Below are 18273 nucleotides of genomic sequence, written 5' to 3'. Positions count from 1 at the left end.
CTGAGTAGACATGTTCCAGGCATAGTGCTCAATGCTGGGGAGACAGATATGAGAGAGGTAGAGATGCTTACACATTCCAACACCATTTAAGGGTGAAGGTGAAGGCTGATTTTGTTTCCTGCCTGCCCAACCTGCTTGGGGTGAATTATTTTGCCAACTGTATGTATGACTTTAAGGATTTGGCCCCTGGGGCTGCAGGTGGTGAGAGGTGGACAGGGTGAACTTCATGTCAAGGCTTCACATGTTATGCTAGGGCAAGACGGTACATTCAACAAAGGCTCAGTGTTAAGCAGATTCTCTGCCAAGGACTTTGCAACTATAAGTCAGGGTTCCCACCACTGCTGCAAATTAGGCAATGTCCACTGTACCTGGCTTTGTTGGGTGAGGGAAGGAACAGTGTGTAACCTTGGAAAAGCTAATTCACTTTGTCAAGGGGCTGGAAAAGGATCTGGCTAGACAGGCCTCTTGTCAAGGGCAGCATTAGCTAATGTCTGAAATGAGGGTCACCTCAAGGTTTCACCTGAAGTAGCTCTGCCGATTTCTGTGTTGAAGTTAATAGAGTTGGTAGAAATCACAGACATGACTTCATAGCCTGAGATTCACTGGACTGACACAGCCACTGCTGAGTGTTGCTGCAGCCTAGACCAAGCCCTATAGGTATTCTTGATCTTGCTCTCATCTGTGCAGTGGAAAGATGCAGGTATGAGGTGTGGGGAAATCAAACCAAATGACAAACACGAAGGCTCTTGTAAGATTCAGGGGCTTGTGTGAATGTTAGGAAGCAAGGTGGTTACCAGGTGGTTGTGCTCAGTGCTGCAGAGAAGGGGCTGCTGAGGGGTGTCCTAAAGTCTTGTGTCATAGCTCCTGGGAGCCTAGAAGGAGGAGAGAGGCAGTTGCTGTGCATGTGGCCTGTGTCCTCTGGGATTTCCAGCTCCTGGGGCAGGGTGATGAGGAAGTGAGAAGGCATGGCCTCCCTTTCCTGAGAACAGGAAGAAAGAAGGAACTAGTTCTGCCTCTCCTTTGAGGGTGTGCTGTGCGTGGAGTGTGCAGGGCAGAGCTTTGGCATTAACTGGCAGTGGACTTGAGCAAGGCATGACTTTTCTGGGTTTCTGATTCCTCTTCAGTAGGCACTATCTCTATTGGCTCTGCCCACTTTTGTGTCTAGTGATTTTCTAAGAATTTTAAAACCTACTTGGGAAACATCCACATTTTAATGTAAAGACAAAAGTCCTTATTTAAGTCATCACTAAGTTTTGCAGTTCAGTGGTCAGCAGATATCAGGGAGGGAGGGCATCGGCCACACTTTTTGGCCCCACTTCTTGATCCTTGACAACCCTATGAGAGGTATGATGCCCCTTTCCCAGTGAGGTGCCAGGTGCCACTAGAGCCAGGGAAGTGCTGGGAAACCACTTTCTCAAGCGCCTTCAGCTTCACGCAAACAAATAAGCACATGGAGGCTTGTGTTATTATGAAGTTTAGCTGCAGAAGTGTGCAGGTGTCAGAGGATGCAAATCAACTTACTTTTTTACAGCCCAATGTCACTGGCAACAGACCTTAGAAATGAGCCATAACCTTCATTTCTCAGGAAGGTAAACAGACCCAGGAAGGTGAAGAGATTTGCTTAACTTCGATGGCAAAATTGAAATGAGAACTCAAGATTTGCACCCCTCACTCTCATTTGTAGAAATATTCTGTTTCTAAAATGAAAGAATACTTGTTTCTTTTTGCCCTCCTCTCCCCCTTTCCTTAGTCCCTCTCACAGCCAGCTACTTTTATTTCTGTATCATGAAACATCTGCCTGTCTCCGTTCGTGGAGCACCCACGTTCCTCAAGCTGTTGTTCCCATGGGAGGTTGGGCTGTATGGGCCAGACAAATGGCTTAGCTAGCTGACTTCTGGTTAAACCTGCCCTCTGCCCTCTTTCAAATGTCTCCCATCCCAGTTTTTTTAAATCCCTTCATAAATATGTTGGTAGGGCAACCTTCTAGTTCTATGCCTTCACCCCCCTTTTCATCTTAAAGGTAGCAAATCCTAGGTCACTATTACAGATGGTGGTCTAGGTGAACATTGGGAAAGTCATCTTGCTTCCCAGGCCTCGGTTTCCTCATTGGTAAAATGAAATAAGGAAAGGAGCCCACAGTTAAAAGCTGGAGTAAAGGTCTCTAGATCCTTCTTTAACTTCAATTTAATAAAAATTTTAGAGATGAGGTCTTGTCTGGCCTTGAACTCCTGGATTCAAGTGATCCTCCTGCCTCAGTCTCCTAGTAGCTGGGGCTATAGGTGTGCCCCTCCATGCCTGAGGAAGCTTTCTTTAGCTCTAAAATCTGAACTCCACAAGGACATTGATCTGCCCTGGAAGAACCAGGGAGCCTTTTCCATTTACCCACCATAGGTCAGGCAACAGGTGTTTTGCCTGCTGCTGAAAGAAGTTCTCATAATCAAGACTGCCTGCATATTTTACAGGGATCAGTGCAAAATGAAATGTGGGGTCCCATGGCAGCCCCTTAAGCCAAGCACAGGGCCTGGGTGATGGCACAGGCCATGTGCCCATGGAACTGCTCTGCTCAGGGCTACACCAGGGATTTGACAGACTCCAGCTGATGCAGGAAGGAGTTAGGTCTGGGCTCATGAGAAGGGTATTCCTACCTCAGTGGCCAGGGTTCATGCTAGGATGACAATAGTCCCACAGCCCACCTCATGCCCACACCTCTGTCACCAGTATCTGTTTAGGAAGAATGGCTGACTTTGCTAGTGCTGGTTCTTCCATTTCTTGAGGAAAGAGTCCGCTGTTCAATAGGGAGCTTCAGGTTTCCAGAACAGATTACTGACTGTTTTGGAGTCTGCAACTGACCCCAGTGCCCCCTGCTTTTGGGGACAGAGTGGCCAAGCCACTTTCTTCTGTTCATCTAGCCTTCCCCCTTCACTTCCTCATAATGAACCTATTTCATGCCTCAGATCACCGACTCCATTCCCTGCTCATTAGACTTGGGTGGCATCTTGGTCCATGATTAAAAAAAAAAAAAAAAAAAGGAAAAAAAATCCCTCCAAATTGCCACCAGAGTCTCTTGATGTCTCAAGAAGAACATGTAGCCAGAGATGTTGAGTGATCCTCACTTGAGTTGCCTAAGAGTGTGAGATTCTCTTCTGAATTTAATTTTTAAAACAAATTTTCTTTTTCTTATAGTATAAAAATGCTCTGGGCCTTGTGCCATTTCAGGTTTTGGATTTAATTCCCAGTCCCTTTATAACCTTGGCAGCTGGGCTTCACTTTCATCAGCCTTTCCATTTCCCTGCTTGTAGGCCTCTCACAACCCCACTCACTCTTCATATCACACAAATGAGTTCATTCTCAGCTCCATACACTCCGTGCGCCTTCTCTTTCTCCTGGATCTCTTTATGATGATCTAGCTTCTTCAGGTTCATGGACACCTTGAAAAGTCATCTGTGAATTCTTTCTTACTTTGTCATTCAAAGCATTCTGCTCCCTGACTGTCTATCCCTTCCTCTCTCCATTCTAACAGATGAGTTTACTTGTGTTTCATCCTTCCATCCATCCATCCCTCCATCAGCCCATGTGTCTATTTTGTGTCAGTCACTGGGGACAGAGAGATGACATGGTGAGTTACTGTCCTCAAGACACGGCAGTGTAGGGGTGCGGAACAGGATATATAAATGAAAAATCAGTGAGAGTGCAACTCGATATGCACAAGACACAGAGGCTGTAAAATGAGACATATTGGATAGTAAATAAGGAGCTGGGAAGGATGTGCTGGCAGGAGAGCTGGGCACCCTTTAAGCGGAAGGAACACCATGCACCGGCCTGGGTGGATATAAAAGCATGCTGCATGCAGGAAGCGCTGAGTTTGGAAAATTGTTGAGGCACAAAGTAGGAGAATCTGGGGACAGGGCAGGGATTGGTGAGAATTAGTCTGGAGTGTCAGGCAGGGCCCAGGGCTTCAGAGGCCCTCTATGTTCTGCTAAGGCTCTCAGGCTCGTCCTGACAGTCCTGGGGCTCCCCCTATTGGTTGGTTTTAAGGAAGGGAGTGACATGGTGAGACTAGTTTGGAGAGAACTCTGGCAACACTGCTGAGGATAGGTTTCATGGGTGATTCTCCAAGACAAGGAGGCCTGTTGGGGGTACGAGTAGGAATGATGTTACCAGGGAGGAAGACGACATATTCAAGAGGTGTTGTGGAGGTAAAGTTCGTAGCACTGAATGATAGGTGGGCGGAGTGGGGGGCTGCCATCCAGGTTTCTGGCTTGAGAAAGTGTGTGCTTGGGAATTCTGTGCCCACACCCAGTCCTGTCTAAACTAGCGGCCATTCTGTCTCAGGCCTGCCGCAGTTGCCCCTGTAGTCTGTTTTGTTACCAACACATAAATCAGGCCTTCATTTCTTACCTAAATTCTTCAAGTATCCTCTTCATCTCTTTCAGTCCATCCTACAACATGCTGCCAAGGTAATCTTCCAGGGACAGCTGAACAATGCCCATTGCAGAGTGAATGATGTCCCAGCTTTTAGCATCACCATCAATATTCATTGCTAAAGGAGACATTCGTTTCCTGTAGAGTCCAATTTTTGAGAGAAGATGAGCCATGTTATATGTGAAGTAATTGAATGTCAAGTCTTCTTTAAGGGGGTGTGGGGCACAGAATTCCTACTCTGAGGGCAATGAAGGAAGCAGGCACGGTGTCTCCAGGGATGACCCCAGGTGATCCTGCCTGTGCCCATCATTTTTTTCAGGTGTATCTTCCATGTCTCCCCTGGCCTTGGGCTTTCTGGTCTGGTCTCATTGCTGCTTAAAATGGACCCCTTTCTCACCTGGGTCTTTGCAGACTGCATTGCCTCTGCCTGGAATAATTTCACTCACATTCCTGTCTGTTGAAATCCTACCCATCTTTTGATATCCAGCCAAAATGCAAGGACCCCATGAGTCCCCTGTGGGAATGGATCCTTCAGAAGCATTTTCCTTTCTATGGCACTCTGCATATTTACTATGCACAGCACCTAACATGTCTTGTATTTTATCTCCCCCACTGGACCACTAGATTGGGAGCAGAAATGGAAAATCAGAGCTCTTAATCCTGGGTCCAGCCTGTGAATGTGTTTTGTTAGTTTGCATGTTTTTTCCCCACCAAATTTAATTTATTAAAAAATTATAACCTATGTTAAATATACAGAAAAGGTGACAATACGATATAATAATGTATATTTGGGACTTTTCACCAAGAATGAACAGATTTGCTGCTGACATCTCACCACCTACTTTTTAAGAAATAAAATATTACACATACATTTTGAATACTAGCCCACGCATTCCTCTCTTGGAGCAGGTCTTTGAGCTGTTTTTTAAAATTTAGAGTTAGTTGCTAATATTTAGAAATCAAGAGATTTCACATAAAAGTTGGCCTCTGGCTACTTTCCTGCCAGTTCTCAGCAGGCCATCACGGGTTCCCAGCCCCATCCTGGCCCTCAGAGCCTGGCTCTCAGGTGGTGGAAACTTTTGTCAAGTACCTGAGCTCCTCATCTGCCCTCCATACATGCTTCCCAGCAGACGGGAGGCCTCCTTATGCCCCTCGTCTTCCTCTGCACCACTGCCCATGCTGTGCCCCCTGTCTGGACCCAGGAATTCAAGGCCTCATTTAAGTCCCGCTGGTTCCTGTGGCTTTTCCCAGTGACCAGCTCAGCTCCATTGTCTGTATTCATATACACCTAGCCCTTAAGCCGGTGGCTGAGAACTTACCTGTGTTTTCATTCATTCCCTTGCCAGGTACCCTGCAGAGCCACCTAGATGGAGGAAAGGGACCCAAAAATCCCCACTGGGTCAGGCTTCCTTGCTCTTCCCTCCGAGACTTGCTGCCTCCGTGTGGTGCATGGCGTGAGGTTCAGCGAGGCTTGCTTGGTGCAGGAGCTCTGCCTGCCTGGCACCCACAGTTGTAAGAAGGGATGGCACATTTTGTTGGCCACAACACTCCGAGGCCTTTGTGCTTGTCCAGTTGAGACTGCTGGCCCATCCAATTTCTTCCTCTCTTTCTGTGATCACCCCTCACTGCCCATTGGAGGTATAATCTTTCCCATCACTTCTCTGTGAACATTGCCCTCATTGGTCAATAGGAGTGGGGTTTCACTAGGCTGAAAAACCAGGGGGAAAGGCTCTTGTCCCAGATTCCACCACCCTCCTATCCTTCCCATGCTATTTGTCATAAACATATGGATGGTGGGCATGCCTTACAAGAGCTGGAGAGGTGCTGGCTCTTGCATTTTGTTCAGTGGATGGGGCAAGAGGGGTGTTCCATTTTTCACTTTACCCCACTGCCTAGGGCCATTCCACCCTGATGCTGGTGCTGATCACCTGTCCCTTGGTGCTTTGAGGTTAATCATCTGTAAATTTTCTGTGTAAGAAAGAAGCCATCTTGATGTTGAGTGTGACCCTCATCATGGCTGTGATATACCCAGGTCCAGAGGGAGACAGCTTCCCTTCCCACACTCTGGACCCACAGCAACCTCCTCACCCGCTTCAGTTCAACTCTGTCCCTAATGCCCCTGAAAGTGTTTCTTTTGACCGTTGCTTCTTTGGTTGATTAATGACTATGTCATCACTGAAGTCCCCAAACTTGTCTTTATTGGCCTCCTCTCCTCAGGGAAATTGAGAAGAATGCGAGGGCCAGTGATAAAAGGGGAGATGTAGGGAAGGAGAAGCTAAGGAGTTGGAAGAATAAAGGAAGAAAGGATATGATTTAATGGAAAGATGGATAAAAAAGGAGGGAGAGGCAGTTATATCTGGGGATGTGGGATAGTAGACTTCTACTTTTTGAGCTGAGTAGGAGATAAATTTTCTGGGAAGCTCACCCTTGTTCTCTTTACTTGCCCAGGAACCTATGGTATGGCTTCATTGTGTGATTTGAAAGGTTGAAATGCAGGGTTATGAATAACCAGAATGACCAGCACACATATAGCCATGGGAGGTGTGTTCTACAGACCTTCAAGGAAATTGACACTGAAGCTGGTGGAGGCTAAATGCATTTTTCCTTCTCTCTCCCCTGCTCAGGGCGGTTTGGTAAGGCATGCAAACCTTTTCAGGTGCCCTCAGGGATTCTCTTGGGTTCTAGAGAGTTTCCTGCATGGAATTGGGCAAGAAGGAGGTAACCCATGGGAGTTGGGGCTCTCTCAAGGAATGGCACCCCATGCTCCAGTGCTCTGCTGTACCACTGACAAGACAAATTCAGGCTGAGTGTTTCAGTGGAAAGATAAGGACTTTCAAGGCTGACTCCCTGGTAGCAGGTCTAGTCACTAATCAGTTGGTATGACCGTGAACAAGTTTCCCCCCTGATAAAATGGAAATAGTCATCTCACATCAGAGGTTTCTGATGAGTATTAAATAAGGTAATATATGTCATATGTAGGTCATGTTGTAGTTGCCCGAAACATACTAGAGCTTATTCAGTCTTCATCCGCCCTTCCTGACCCTCCCACTACTCTGCCCACCCCTCAAACCCTGGTTTCATGGTACTCTTCTAAATTGGAGACGGTGATACCTTGAAATGAAGGGAAAGGAGGAAAGTATGTATTAATAGAAACCACACCTCCCTCCAGTTAAGCATTAAAGCATTTATTGCTCTTTTCATTGAACTGTGTGAAGAAATAGGAGATTAAAAAAAAAAAGAAATACTTTCTCATTTAAGAGGGGAAATGGAGCTCTAGTAGTCAAAAGAGACCCTCAAGTTAAAAGAGATCCCAAATTGTTCAGAATTAGCCACTGATATTTGGTAACGGCAAATCACATTGTCTGTCCTTTGGTATATGGTTAGCACAGAAAGCTTCTGGTTGGGCCAGTGACTGCACAGGTTTTGATGACACGAGGAAGACAATAAGTTGGCCATTGTGTGAAAGGGAGGCAGCAGGATCTGGGCTTGTGCCCTTGTCACCTTCTGTATGAAGCCAGGAGGATGAAGCTTGATGATATCTCCTGTAGCGATTGAAGGGGAGTTGACAGGTATAAATTGGCCTGAGCAGGAATCTCACTATTTCCAGCAGGAAGCCAATCCAGCATATCAGGGCTAGAGGAAGGCTCCATCTGGAATCAAGGCAGAGGCCAAATTCTTTGTTCAGGGTGTAACTAAGGTAGTCATAGCTTTGGTAAGACATGTCATCTGAGATATAGTAGAACTGTCCTCGGATGCTTAGGGCCTTCTTGGGGTCCTGCAGGGACCACAAGACCAGAATGTGGGCCCAGGCCACATTGCCAACATAGACTGTGTTGATGTGGATAACTTGCTGACACTTGACAGGATCCCATTGTAATGGGGCCTCATTTGTAGTGGCAGAAAGTATAGGGCTTCCTTCCTCATAGATATACATGAGTCTTAAGGCACAAATGTACAAGATACGCTATTTTTCAGTGTTCACCCATTAGCTGCCAGCACGGCCTCCTCAGCAAGCTTTTTGCTCTATGGGTATGGAGCAGGCCATATGTTTTCCAAAGGCTCTTATTCGTGGCCATTCTGGATGATCTCATTGCAGGAGTTGGGCCTGGATACTTCTATGATGCTGGTGTGGATGAAGCCTGGCATACTAGCTTGGACACAGGTTCCCAACAGAAGTTGGGTACCTGCCCACGAAGAGTATGCTGTCAGTGTCAGGAAATATCCCTATGGGGCCGCAACCACGTGCACAGATCCATGTGCCCCACTCCCCACTCCCAAGTGCAGTGGTTGTAACACACTTGGGTTACAACTGAGTGTTGTATTCTTCTGTGGCTCTGACAGAGATTGGGCCATGCTGCAGCCATAGGAAAAACATAAAAATAAAAATAAATGAACATTTGGGCTCTAGAGAGGAAGAATTTCTAGACTTTTGGGTTTTGTGGACGTGTGTGTGTGTGTGTGTGTGTGTGTACGTGTATACTTTAATTTTGGAAAAGAACCTAGGGTTATCACTTTATATTTTGGCAAGTAAGAATATTGGAAAATTATGATTTTCCATTGATACCATTAAAGACAGATTATTTAAAATCTAAAAAATCAGGAAGCTACACTCTGAGAATATGGACAGTCCCAGTCCTTAGGCACAAAAGGGCAGTGGAAGAATTCACATCACGCACACACATTCACAGTTGTATATTAAGGCAATATATGCTCTTAAATATATACATGCAATTGCTGGTATTTTTCTCATTTTGTTGAGGACTAATAAAACTTTTTCTCATTTTATTGAAGACTAATAAAACTTTGACTAGCAAAACCAAATCCCTGAAGTCACTGAGCAAATAGTATGTTTGGGGAGATTCTGGATACCCACACACTTTTCCTGATTGTGTGTTCTCCAGGCAAGCTGCTTCCAATTCTGGTTGTGACTCTGTTTATCCAGTTATGTAAAGCGGGGGTGGTGGTAATAAATAAACCTTCCTTCTACTTAGTATTCCAAACCCTGCACTGGTGTTTCCTGTGGAACCTGGTGGAGGACTGGGGAGGGAGTGTGCCCTCTGCTGGTAACACCTGCATGGGGAGGACCTTGCAGCCTCCCCTGAGCTGTGTGAAAGCAAAGCTCATGGAGGTATCCAGAGCGTCTTCCCTTGAAGCAGGAAGAAAAATCATGGGCAAAAGATCATTTTTATTTGCTTATTTTTGTACTGTTGGCTCCTTTTAAAGTCTCTGTGCAATTTGAGTTTCTGGAGAGACAGTATCATCTTCAAAAATTAGTCTAGTGGCAGAGAAAATATGGAGTTAGTTTACCTTCAAGGGGTAAATGACCAACGTTGTGAAGTATTCTCTAAGCCTGCCAGTGATAATGGTTTTAGGAAACAGATGCCTCTAACACTTCCCCTGTCATTTCACATCCCCTGTTGCTGGGAGCTGTAGAGAATAAGAATTAAAATGAAAAACTAGTTTTCTTAGCATACTCCTTGCACTGTAGGGGTACTTACAGGTTATGGGCAAGTAGAAACTGACAAGGTTTTTTTTTTTTTTTTTTTTTTTTCTTTTAGATGGTGCTGGAGACCCAAAAGCAATTAGTTGCATTAGAAAAGGCATCAGAGTAGACTGAATGTGGAGGGCCAGGCCAGCAGTGGGGTGCTATGGTCCTGAAGAGACTGGGATCTGGGAATCAGAGGGTGAGACTACATGACAAGATTCTTTAAGCCAATGTGTCTGAATTTAAAGTAGGTTGGAAAGCCACAATTTGCAAAAACCACCCAATATTTAAGGGATGAGGATCGAATGAGGCTGCACTTTGGGCACCTGGCAAGAAATGGCTCTGTAATAGTAGACCCGGTGGTGAGCTGAAGAGATTGTATTCTGGATACAGGGAAAATCTTATGGTTAAGAAAATATTGTGGGAAGGCATGTGCTGGATAATTCTGTCCTGACAGACCTCTGTGAACCAGCTTTGCTAGTTCTCTCAAGAGGACTTCTTCTTTGAGGTGGACAGGAGGGCTCTGAATGTTCTCATCAGCCTGCACACAAGGTTCAAAATGATGACTATGGTGACATCTGGAAGGTATGATTTTTGCGCTGGGAGGCAAGCGGTGGCTTGACATCAAGAGTCTGAAGTTGGAGTTTAGTTTATCTTTTATTGGAGCCACAGTAGAAAGAGCATCCACAGCCTTTGGAGTCACACAAGAGTGAATTTAAAGCCTAACTCACCTACTTACTTACTTACCTGGAGAACCTAGGACAAGTTACTTGTCATCTCTTAGCCCTAGTTTTATCATCTAAAAAACTAAAGTTAGCAGTCTTGAACTCCCTAGTTGGTAGTGATCAGCAAAGACACTTGGCCCAGAGTACAGCAGGTGTTCAGTGGAGAAACTTCTCTTTCCATCCTGTCCTTCTTTCTGATTCTCATTTTCCCACATTGCTCCATCTCCTCCCCAGGATACTGTACCTTTCACATTGGCTTTCATGATAGACTGTCTGTGAGTGACACCGAAGACGTCAATGATAGAGGCAGTGTGGATGATGACCAAGATGTCCTGGCAGGCTCTTTTAAGGCATGACTCATTCAGAATGTCTCCTTCCAACACTGTTAGCTTGGTCTTGTTTTGGAGCTTTGCATGAACATGGGTCAGGTCATTGCAATGATTTCTGGATCTGGCTAGGAAGTTTTCTGATAAAGGTGATGTTTCATAAGTGCTCAAGGATGTTAGAGTGGGGGTGTTAGAGTGGAGGGTGTACATTCCATAAAAGGAACAAGTAAACAAAGACAGAGAAATCAGCATGTGTTGTGGTTGATTGGGAAAGAACAAATATTTGTTTGTACCTCACCTCATTCCAGGAAAGTAATCTGAACAGTGAGTTGTCAGGTGTCTTAGAATGTAAGCATTGCTAGAGCCATGGGAATCTCACCAAATTTCTTAAGGGGAGTAGGGTGATTGTGGAGAGTTGGGTATAAGAGGAAAATATTTTAATTTAATTCTATATGTAACCAGGAATAATGATTTTGGGTCTCTAACATCATGTCAAATAAAACCTATTATTTTTGTTTAAAAGAAGTACAAAAACAGACTGGCCATGGTGGCTCACCCCTGTAATTCCAGCCAGCACTTCGGGAGGTTGAGGTGGGTGGATCACTTGAGCCCAGGAAGTTGAAACCAGTCTGGACACCGTGGTGAAACCCTGTCTCTACTAAAAATATAAAAAGTACCCAGGCTATAGTGCCTATAGTCTCAGCTACTTGCGAGGCTGAGGCAGGAGGATGGATGGAGCCCAGGAGGTGAAGGTAGCAGTGAGCCAAGATTATGTCTCTGCACTCCAGCCTGGGTAGCAGAGCAAAACGCTGTTTCAAGAAAAAAAAGAAAGAAAGAAAGAAAAAAAAAACCGTAAAAGGGAAACAGAAGCAGAGTTGTGATGCAGGAAGTTAACCTTGGCTTGAGGATATAAAACGGACTGGTATAGGGGATATGAGAAAGCCAGGTGATCAAGAGATTAATCGGAATGTCTGTGCCAACATTTAGATGAGGACTGGAACCAGGGTCAAACAGTGGAAGCAGAGGAGGGGAGAGATACACCAGGTTTGAATTTCAGACCTTACCTTTAAGGTCCTGGTACCTATTGGAGCTGGGCTGAGAGGAAAAGGAGAAGATAAAATCACCCCTACAGTTTCCTGCTTGGGCAACTGGGAGGAGAGTGGAGCCATGACTCAGGAATTGTACATAAAATGATGAAATGATGAATTATGAATGAATGAATTTCATTGAAATGATGAATTTCGTTGAAAACTCTTATCAAAATAGCATCAAAAGCAGACAGCGATGCTGACAATGAGTTAGCCACTGATGAACTGACATTCCAACTGTCTAGCCAGGGGCAGTGGTTACAACATCAATGTCTTCAGGCTTCTCTGAAATCCACAGGTAGTTATGCTGCCAGTAAAGTTATCACCTGGAATTAACCCACAAAATGAGCACCATGCTACATGGAGCTCGGATAAATACTCTACTCTCATTTGTGCTTTATAATTTGCATACGGCTCACAGCTTGCTTATTTCCTTGTATCTCTATCTCAAGAGGTAGGTATTCTGAGTCCCACTTTATTGGTGAGGAAACTGAGGCTAAGAGGTTAAGGAGAGATCTAAGGCCAGGCTTCTAGTGAAGGCTCAAACCTGCCCATCCCACGTGCCATTTTTGTACCCTGTACCCCAGGTGCAGGACTGGCTGTTTAGAATCAGCTTTTCTGAGAAAGGGTAAGAATAAGCCAGTTTAACTGAAACTGGCAACAAAGGCTAAAGAACAGTGAGAGTAAAATTCAGAGTGAAAAATTCAAGGCTGGAGAAATTCCTTCTTGGGGTACAAGCAGGACCGTTTGCTCTCCTGATGCCTCTGCCATGTTTTGTCTACTGCCAGACCCTTCCCTTTGTCAGGCAACTCTAAGAAGGTCCTGCAGTGGGGGGAGGTAGGAAAGAGGCTGTTGGGGAGGAGGTGGCTAACAGCCTGAGAGTGGAATTTTCTCTGGTTGTTTTTCCACCTCTGCCCTTCCTACTCCCTTCCTCTGCTTCTTCTTTGCTGCCAACTTCAGACAGACTGGCTCAAAGGAATTGCTATGTCAAAGCAGAAGAACTCCAAAGCAGAGAGAAAAGGACTCTTCCCCCAATGAGTTTTCAGGGATCTAGAGGGACCAAGAAAGGGGACTTTTGTTGATGAAGCCATAGCTCCCTCCTTCTCCAAGGCACTGTGGACTTGGCAAGTGTTTTATGTAGACTAAATGCAGTTGCTTTTATGGCATGACTTGAGCTAGAGGGAGGTCTAGAGAAGCTGCTAGACAACTACAGCTTAAGAGCACAGAAGCTGCACTACACTGTCTGGGTTCAAATCCAGCTTTGCCATAATCTAACTGTGGTACCTTGGACAAGTTGATTAACCTCTCTGTCTCGTCATCTATAAGAAATAAGACTAATAATATTACCAATCTCATAGGGTTGTTATGGGAAGTAAATGAGTCAGCACATGCAAAACCTTTAGCACAGTGCCTGGCACAGAAAGAACACTGAAAGGATTCTCTGTTTTTATCTTCATACAGGCCCTGCCCATCCATTATGCCCCCTGCATTTTCACCATAGCGGAACTGTTCCTCTAGGCTGAGCATTGCTTTTTTCCTGATATCAGATGTTAGATTGCAAATATTGCTGAGACACAAGGATTACAAACATTTAATATTGGTCGTGCATTAATATTTGTTTATCAAAGACACCATTAAAACAGAGAGTGGAGGAAATCTGACATTTGAAGAGGTCAGAGAAGAGTGAAAGGAAGACTAGATTGTTGGGTGTGGTCCCGGAGTGCTGTCAATGGGGGGCTTCTCTGTGCACAGGGCAGGACCCTCTGGGCAGCCAGAGCCCACATGTAGACACACAGTCCCCCCAATCATTTGGGTTGGGGAAGATGACAGGGAATTGGTTTGGGACACACATGGAGGCAAAGGAAGAGACTGAAGACCCACCTTGCCAAGCATCAGCTCAAGGGCCAAGTGATGAAGCCTCTGGATGAAGCTCTGGTCTGAGCTCTGCTACACATTAATCAGATGTTCTTGGCAAGTCACTCTGTTTCTGCACCTTGATGGGTTCATAGTTCAGTTGGATGTTACCCCTCTTCTTTTTTTTTTTTTTTTGAGATGGAGTCTTGCTCTGTCATACAGGCTGGAGTGCAGTGGCATGATCTCAGCCCACTGCAACCTCCACTTCCTGGGTTCAAGTGATTCTCCTGCCTCAGCCTCCCGAGTAGCTGGGATTATAGGGGCACGCCACCATGCTGGCTAATTTTTGTATTTTTAGTAGAGATGGGGTTTCACTATGTTGGCCAGGCTGGTCTCAAACGTCTGACCTCGTGATCTGCCCGCCTTGGCTTCCCAAAATGCTGGGATTAGAGGCATGAGCCACCGCACCTGGCCTGTGACCCCTCTTCTAACTCCCTCATGGGTCTATTCATACAAGGAGTTGCTACTTCAAATTCTGCAGTCAACTTATTGTGGTGATAACAGACAAATGGTTAAAAAAAAGTCATATATGTGAAATCTAAATGAGGCATGTCTGGCCTCATACTGCCTCTTACTCTGGCTCTGCTCTGTGCTGTGCACTAGTGCGCACTCTCTCCCTCTCACTGATGCTCTCTCTCTCTCTCTCACTCTGTCTTTCTCATTCTCTCTTTGTGATTCTCTCTCCCCTCATTTCTCTCTGTCACACACAAATGCACACACACACTGACACACTCATCTTTTTTTTTCCATTTCCTTTTATTTTACCTTCACTAAAGATGCTAAGGATGCTACAAAACGAAACAAAGCCCGGGGCAGTCTAGAGAGACAGGGACTCACTGGTGAGGTCTCCAGATAAATAGTGTTTTCTGTGAATGTTGCACAGCAATTGGCAAGACAAAAAGCTTCAGAACATAAATGAGTTGTAGACAAGAAAGAGAATTGATGTGGGATTTTTTAGATGAGAAGAAAAAATGCATGGAGGCTGAGGTGGCTACCTCTCAAGTTCTGTGTCAGGGCCAGAATCCAGTCTCCGGACATCCCATCCAGTATCTTTCCCACTATGCCATTTTATACTATTTAATATTTCTTTTTTGATTACTGTGGATGTGGTATTGGCTTTGATTTGACTACAACTTTCCATAACTTGCTAGACAAGTTCCACCTCCCAACATGCATGGAGGGTTTAAGATGGAGCCAAACACCTATAACTCAAGTTTACTTATGGAAAATTCCTTCCTCAATTCTGGTCTGAAGGCCTTTTCCAAAGCCCTGATCTCCTTCAGCTCCTTCTCCTTCACCAAGAGATGGATGATTCTCTGATCCAGAAACATTCCTGCTCCTGTCACAAGGAAGTTCCAGCCCATCATGGCTAATCCAAAGTAGCAGGAAACCCTCGCCAGGGAGCAGAAGATGCTGGGGAACAGATCTGATTCTAAGGTGACCCAGGAGAGGGCTAAGAAGAGTGGTCAAATGGTTATATACTCACACAGATCCCTTATTTTCCTCCACCCTCTTTTTTTGCAAAAATTCTGTGTCCCCACCACTGCCAGTGGTAGTTGAAAAAAAAAAATGAAAAAGCTCTAGCCATTTGTTAGATCGTTAAAAGGTGGACCGAGTAATCAGGGTGCTGGTCACCTCATCCCCTGTGGCAGGTCTGAAGCTTTATGCACTGTGGCTTCTGGCCCAGCTCGTATCAATTTGTACTCTGGCCACATACTCATTGCTGTCTCCTCCTGCAGGATCCCTTATCTCAGGAGAATAGTGACCTTTAGGTTATATCTAGTTCTTCCCAGGAACAGTAGGAGAAATCCAATCTTAAGGCTGCAGTGTGATAGAGTCTTGGGTTTAGTCTTAACATGATACTGGCCAGTTGATACCAGCTGTCTGGGATCTGCAACCTGTGATCTTAAACTAGAGTGGGAGAAATCTCCCAGTGAAATGTGAATTTTGTCCTTGTGCAATAAATACATCTGGAGGGAAATCTACGTTAGCCCATTATCTCCTCTGTCAGAGTATCATTTGAAATGTTGCTGCTATCTTGCAGAGTTTAGAAATTTGCAAGGGTGACAGCTCCAATCACTAAGTTTTATGGGGGTGACTTTCTTTCGAACTCAATATATCCAAAACTTCAATCGCCATTTTCCCCTGGAGACTTCTGTGTTCCTAGATGAAGAACATCATTGAAGGAAAGCTATCTAGTGATAACCACTTAATGATATGACCTGTACCACAAGAATAGGGATTTTTAGTTGTATGCCACAATTACTTTTATCATAGATGTTTGAACTTATCTTATATTTTTGCCTGCAAAACAATTCTCAGCAAATTCCTGGAGATGCTGTAAGTGCTTTTGAAGCCTATGCCCCAGAACTGCCCACATATCTCCATCGTAAGCTCCCCAAGACACTTTCCTCTATTTTAAAAAATCGAGATGTAATTTATAAATATTACAATGCCCAGATCTCCAGTGTTCAGTGTCAGTGAACCTTGACAGTCATATATGCCCATTTAAGTACCACCCAAAAGAAGATATAGATCATTTCCTTCACTCCAGAAAGATTTTTCTGCCTGTTCTCTGTTATCTCTCTGCCCTTCCCCCAATCCACCTCATAGGTATTGTGCATGGAGTATAGAAAAATTGACCATTGGTTGTCTCTATTGTTTGTTCATTTTTCTATTTCATGATTTTCATTATTTTTTAATTGACTTACATTTATTGACTTTGGGTTTATTTCACTCTTCTTTTTCAGGATTCTTATGATAAAATCATAGATAATTAACTTTACTCCTTTGCTCATTTCCAGTATAGACAATTAAAGTTGTAAATTTCTCTTTAAACACTATGTTAGCTGTATCTAACATTTTAATGCTGGTTTATCATCATTCAGTTAATGATGTTTAAAATATTTTCTTGTGATTTCTTCTTTGACCCAAGTGTTAATCAGAAGCATGCTGCTTGTTTTCTAAAAGTTGGGGATTTTCTAGATATCTTATTGTTATGCCTTTATAATCAAATACTATTGTGGCCAGAGCATATACTCTGTATGATTTTGATCTTTGGATATATATTGAGACTTGTTTTATGGTGCAGCATATGGTCTATGTTGGTGAACATGCCATAAGCACTTAACAAGAATGCTTTCTGCAATTGTTGGAAGTAATACTCCAGAAATGATTTGGTTTGAAACCCCACTCTAGGTCTTGCCCTCCTCCCATGTTGTAGACATTCACCTTCTACTTGGGATCTGACTATCAACGCTTCAAACGCACTTGCCTAGGAAAGATTAGCCCTGTGACCCAGGATGCAGCAGCTTGTTCTCTGAAGCTAAGAGAACTAGCTGCAGGCCCTGGATCTTGCTGAGACGTGTGGAGCACTACCTGAAACCACTCAGGTGCATCATGTGCCTTTACGTGCTATAACAGATGCTGGAGTGCACCTTAACAATCCCCATCGCCTTCAGGAGAGGGTCACTCATTCCCTTAGCAGTTGAGAGTTCTGGAGGCTGGTAGATTTCAGCCAGTGTCTCTTGGAGTCTCTGAGTGAAACTAATAAATGTAAGCACTAAAGAAAGCAAGAAATAAAACAAAGAGCAAGACTGATTAGGGGTCAATAAGGCCACACTGCTAACATTCTTTTGTTTTTAAACAGCTTTACTGAGGTATAATTGACATATCATAACATTCACCTATTTTAAGTGTACAGTTTAATTATTTTTAGTAAAATTTTAGACTTGTTTGACCATCATCACAATCTTGTTTTGGAACATTTCTATAATTCCTAAGAAATCCCTCATGCTCATCAATACCACCCCTTATTCCCACTCCCCAGCTCCAGACAACCCCTAATTGACTTACTGACACTACAGATTTGTCTTTTCTGGATATCATAAAAATAGAGTCATACAACATGTGGTTTTTTGTATCTGTCTTCTTTCACTTAGATTAATGTGCTTTTGTGGTTCACCTGTGTTGTAGCACGTATCAATATTTTATTTTTTTAGGTGCTAAATTCTATTAAATTGTATGGATCACTCCCATTTGTTTATTGTTTCATCAGCTGATAGATATTTGATGTGTTTCTACTTTATGGACTATTATGGATAAAGCTGCTACTAATATTCACATTCATGTGTTGTGTGGACATAGGTTTTTTTCCTTTGGAGTAGACAACAAGGAATGAAAGTGCTAGGTAATATGGTAAATGTATCTTCAACGTTTTAAGAAACTGCCAAACTGCTTTCCAACATGGCTGCATGTCCCATCAACAATGCATGAGTATTTCAATTTTTCCACATCATTGTTATTTCACTTCC

At 44.2% G+C, this 18273-nt stretch overlaps 1 pseudogene, besides 1 other annotated feature; it reads right to left on the bottom strand.

The window, feature by feature from the left end:
- Window positions 3856-4150: an enhancer, noted in NCBI's record as "tiled region #13290; K562 Activating DNase matched - State 12:CtcfO". NCBI's record gives its function as "activates a minimal TATA promoter and a strong SV40 promoter by Sharpr-MPRA in K562 cells {active_cell/tissue: K562}" and the evidence as "EXISTENCE:reporter gene assay evidence [ECO:0000049][PMID:27701403]".
- Window positions 7592-15415, bottom strand: HSD3BP3 (hydroxy-delta-5-steroid dehydrogenase, 3 beta, pseudogene 3; annotated as a pseudogene).

Source organism: Homo sapiens, chromosome 1, assembly GCF_000001405.40.
Source record: "Homo sapiens chromosome 1, GRCh38.p14 Primary Assembly".
Lineage (NCBI taxonomy): Eukaryota > Metazoa > Chordata > Mammalia > Primates > Hominidae > Homo > Homo sapiens.
The sequence above is the reverse complement of the archived record's forward strand: the minus strand, read 5'-3'. Positions and strand labels throughout refer to the sequence as shown.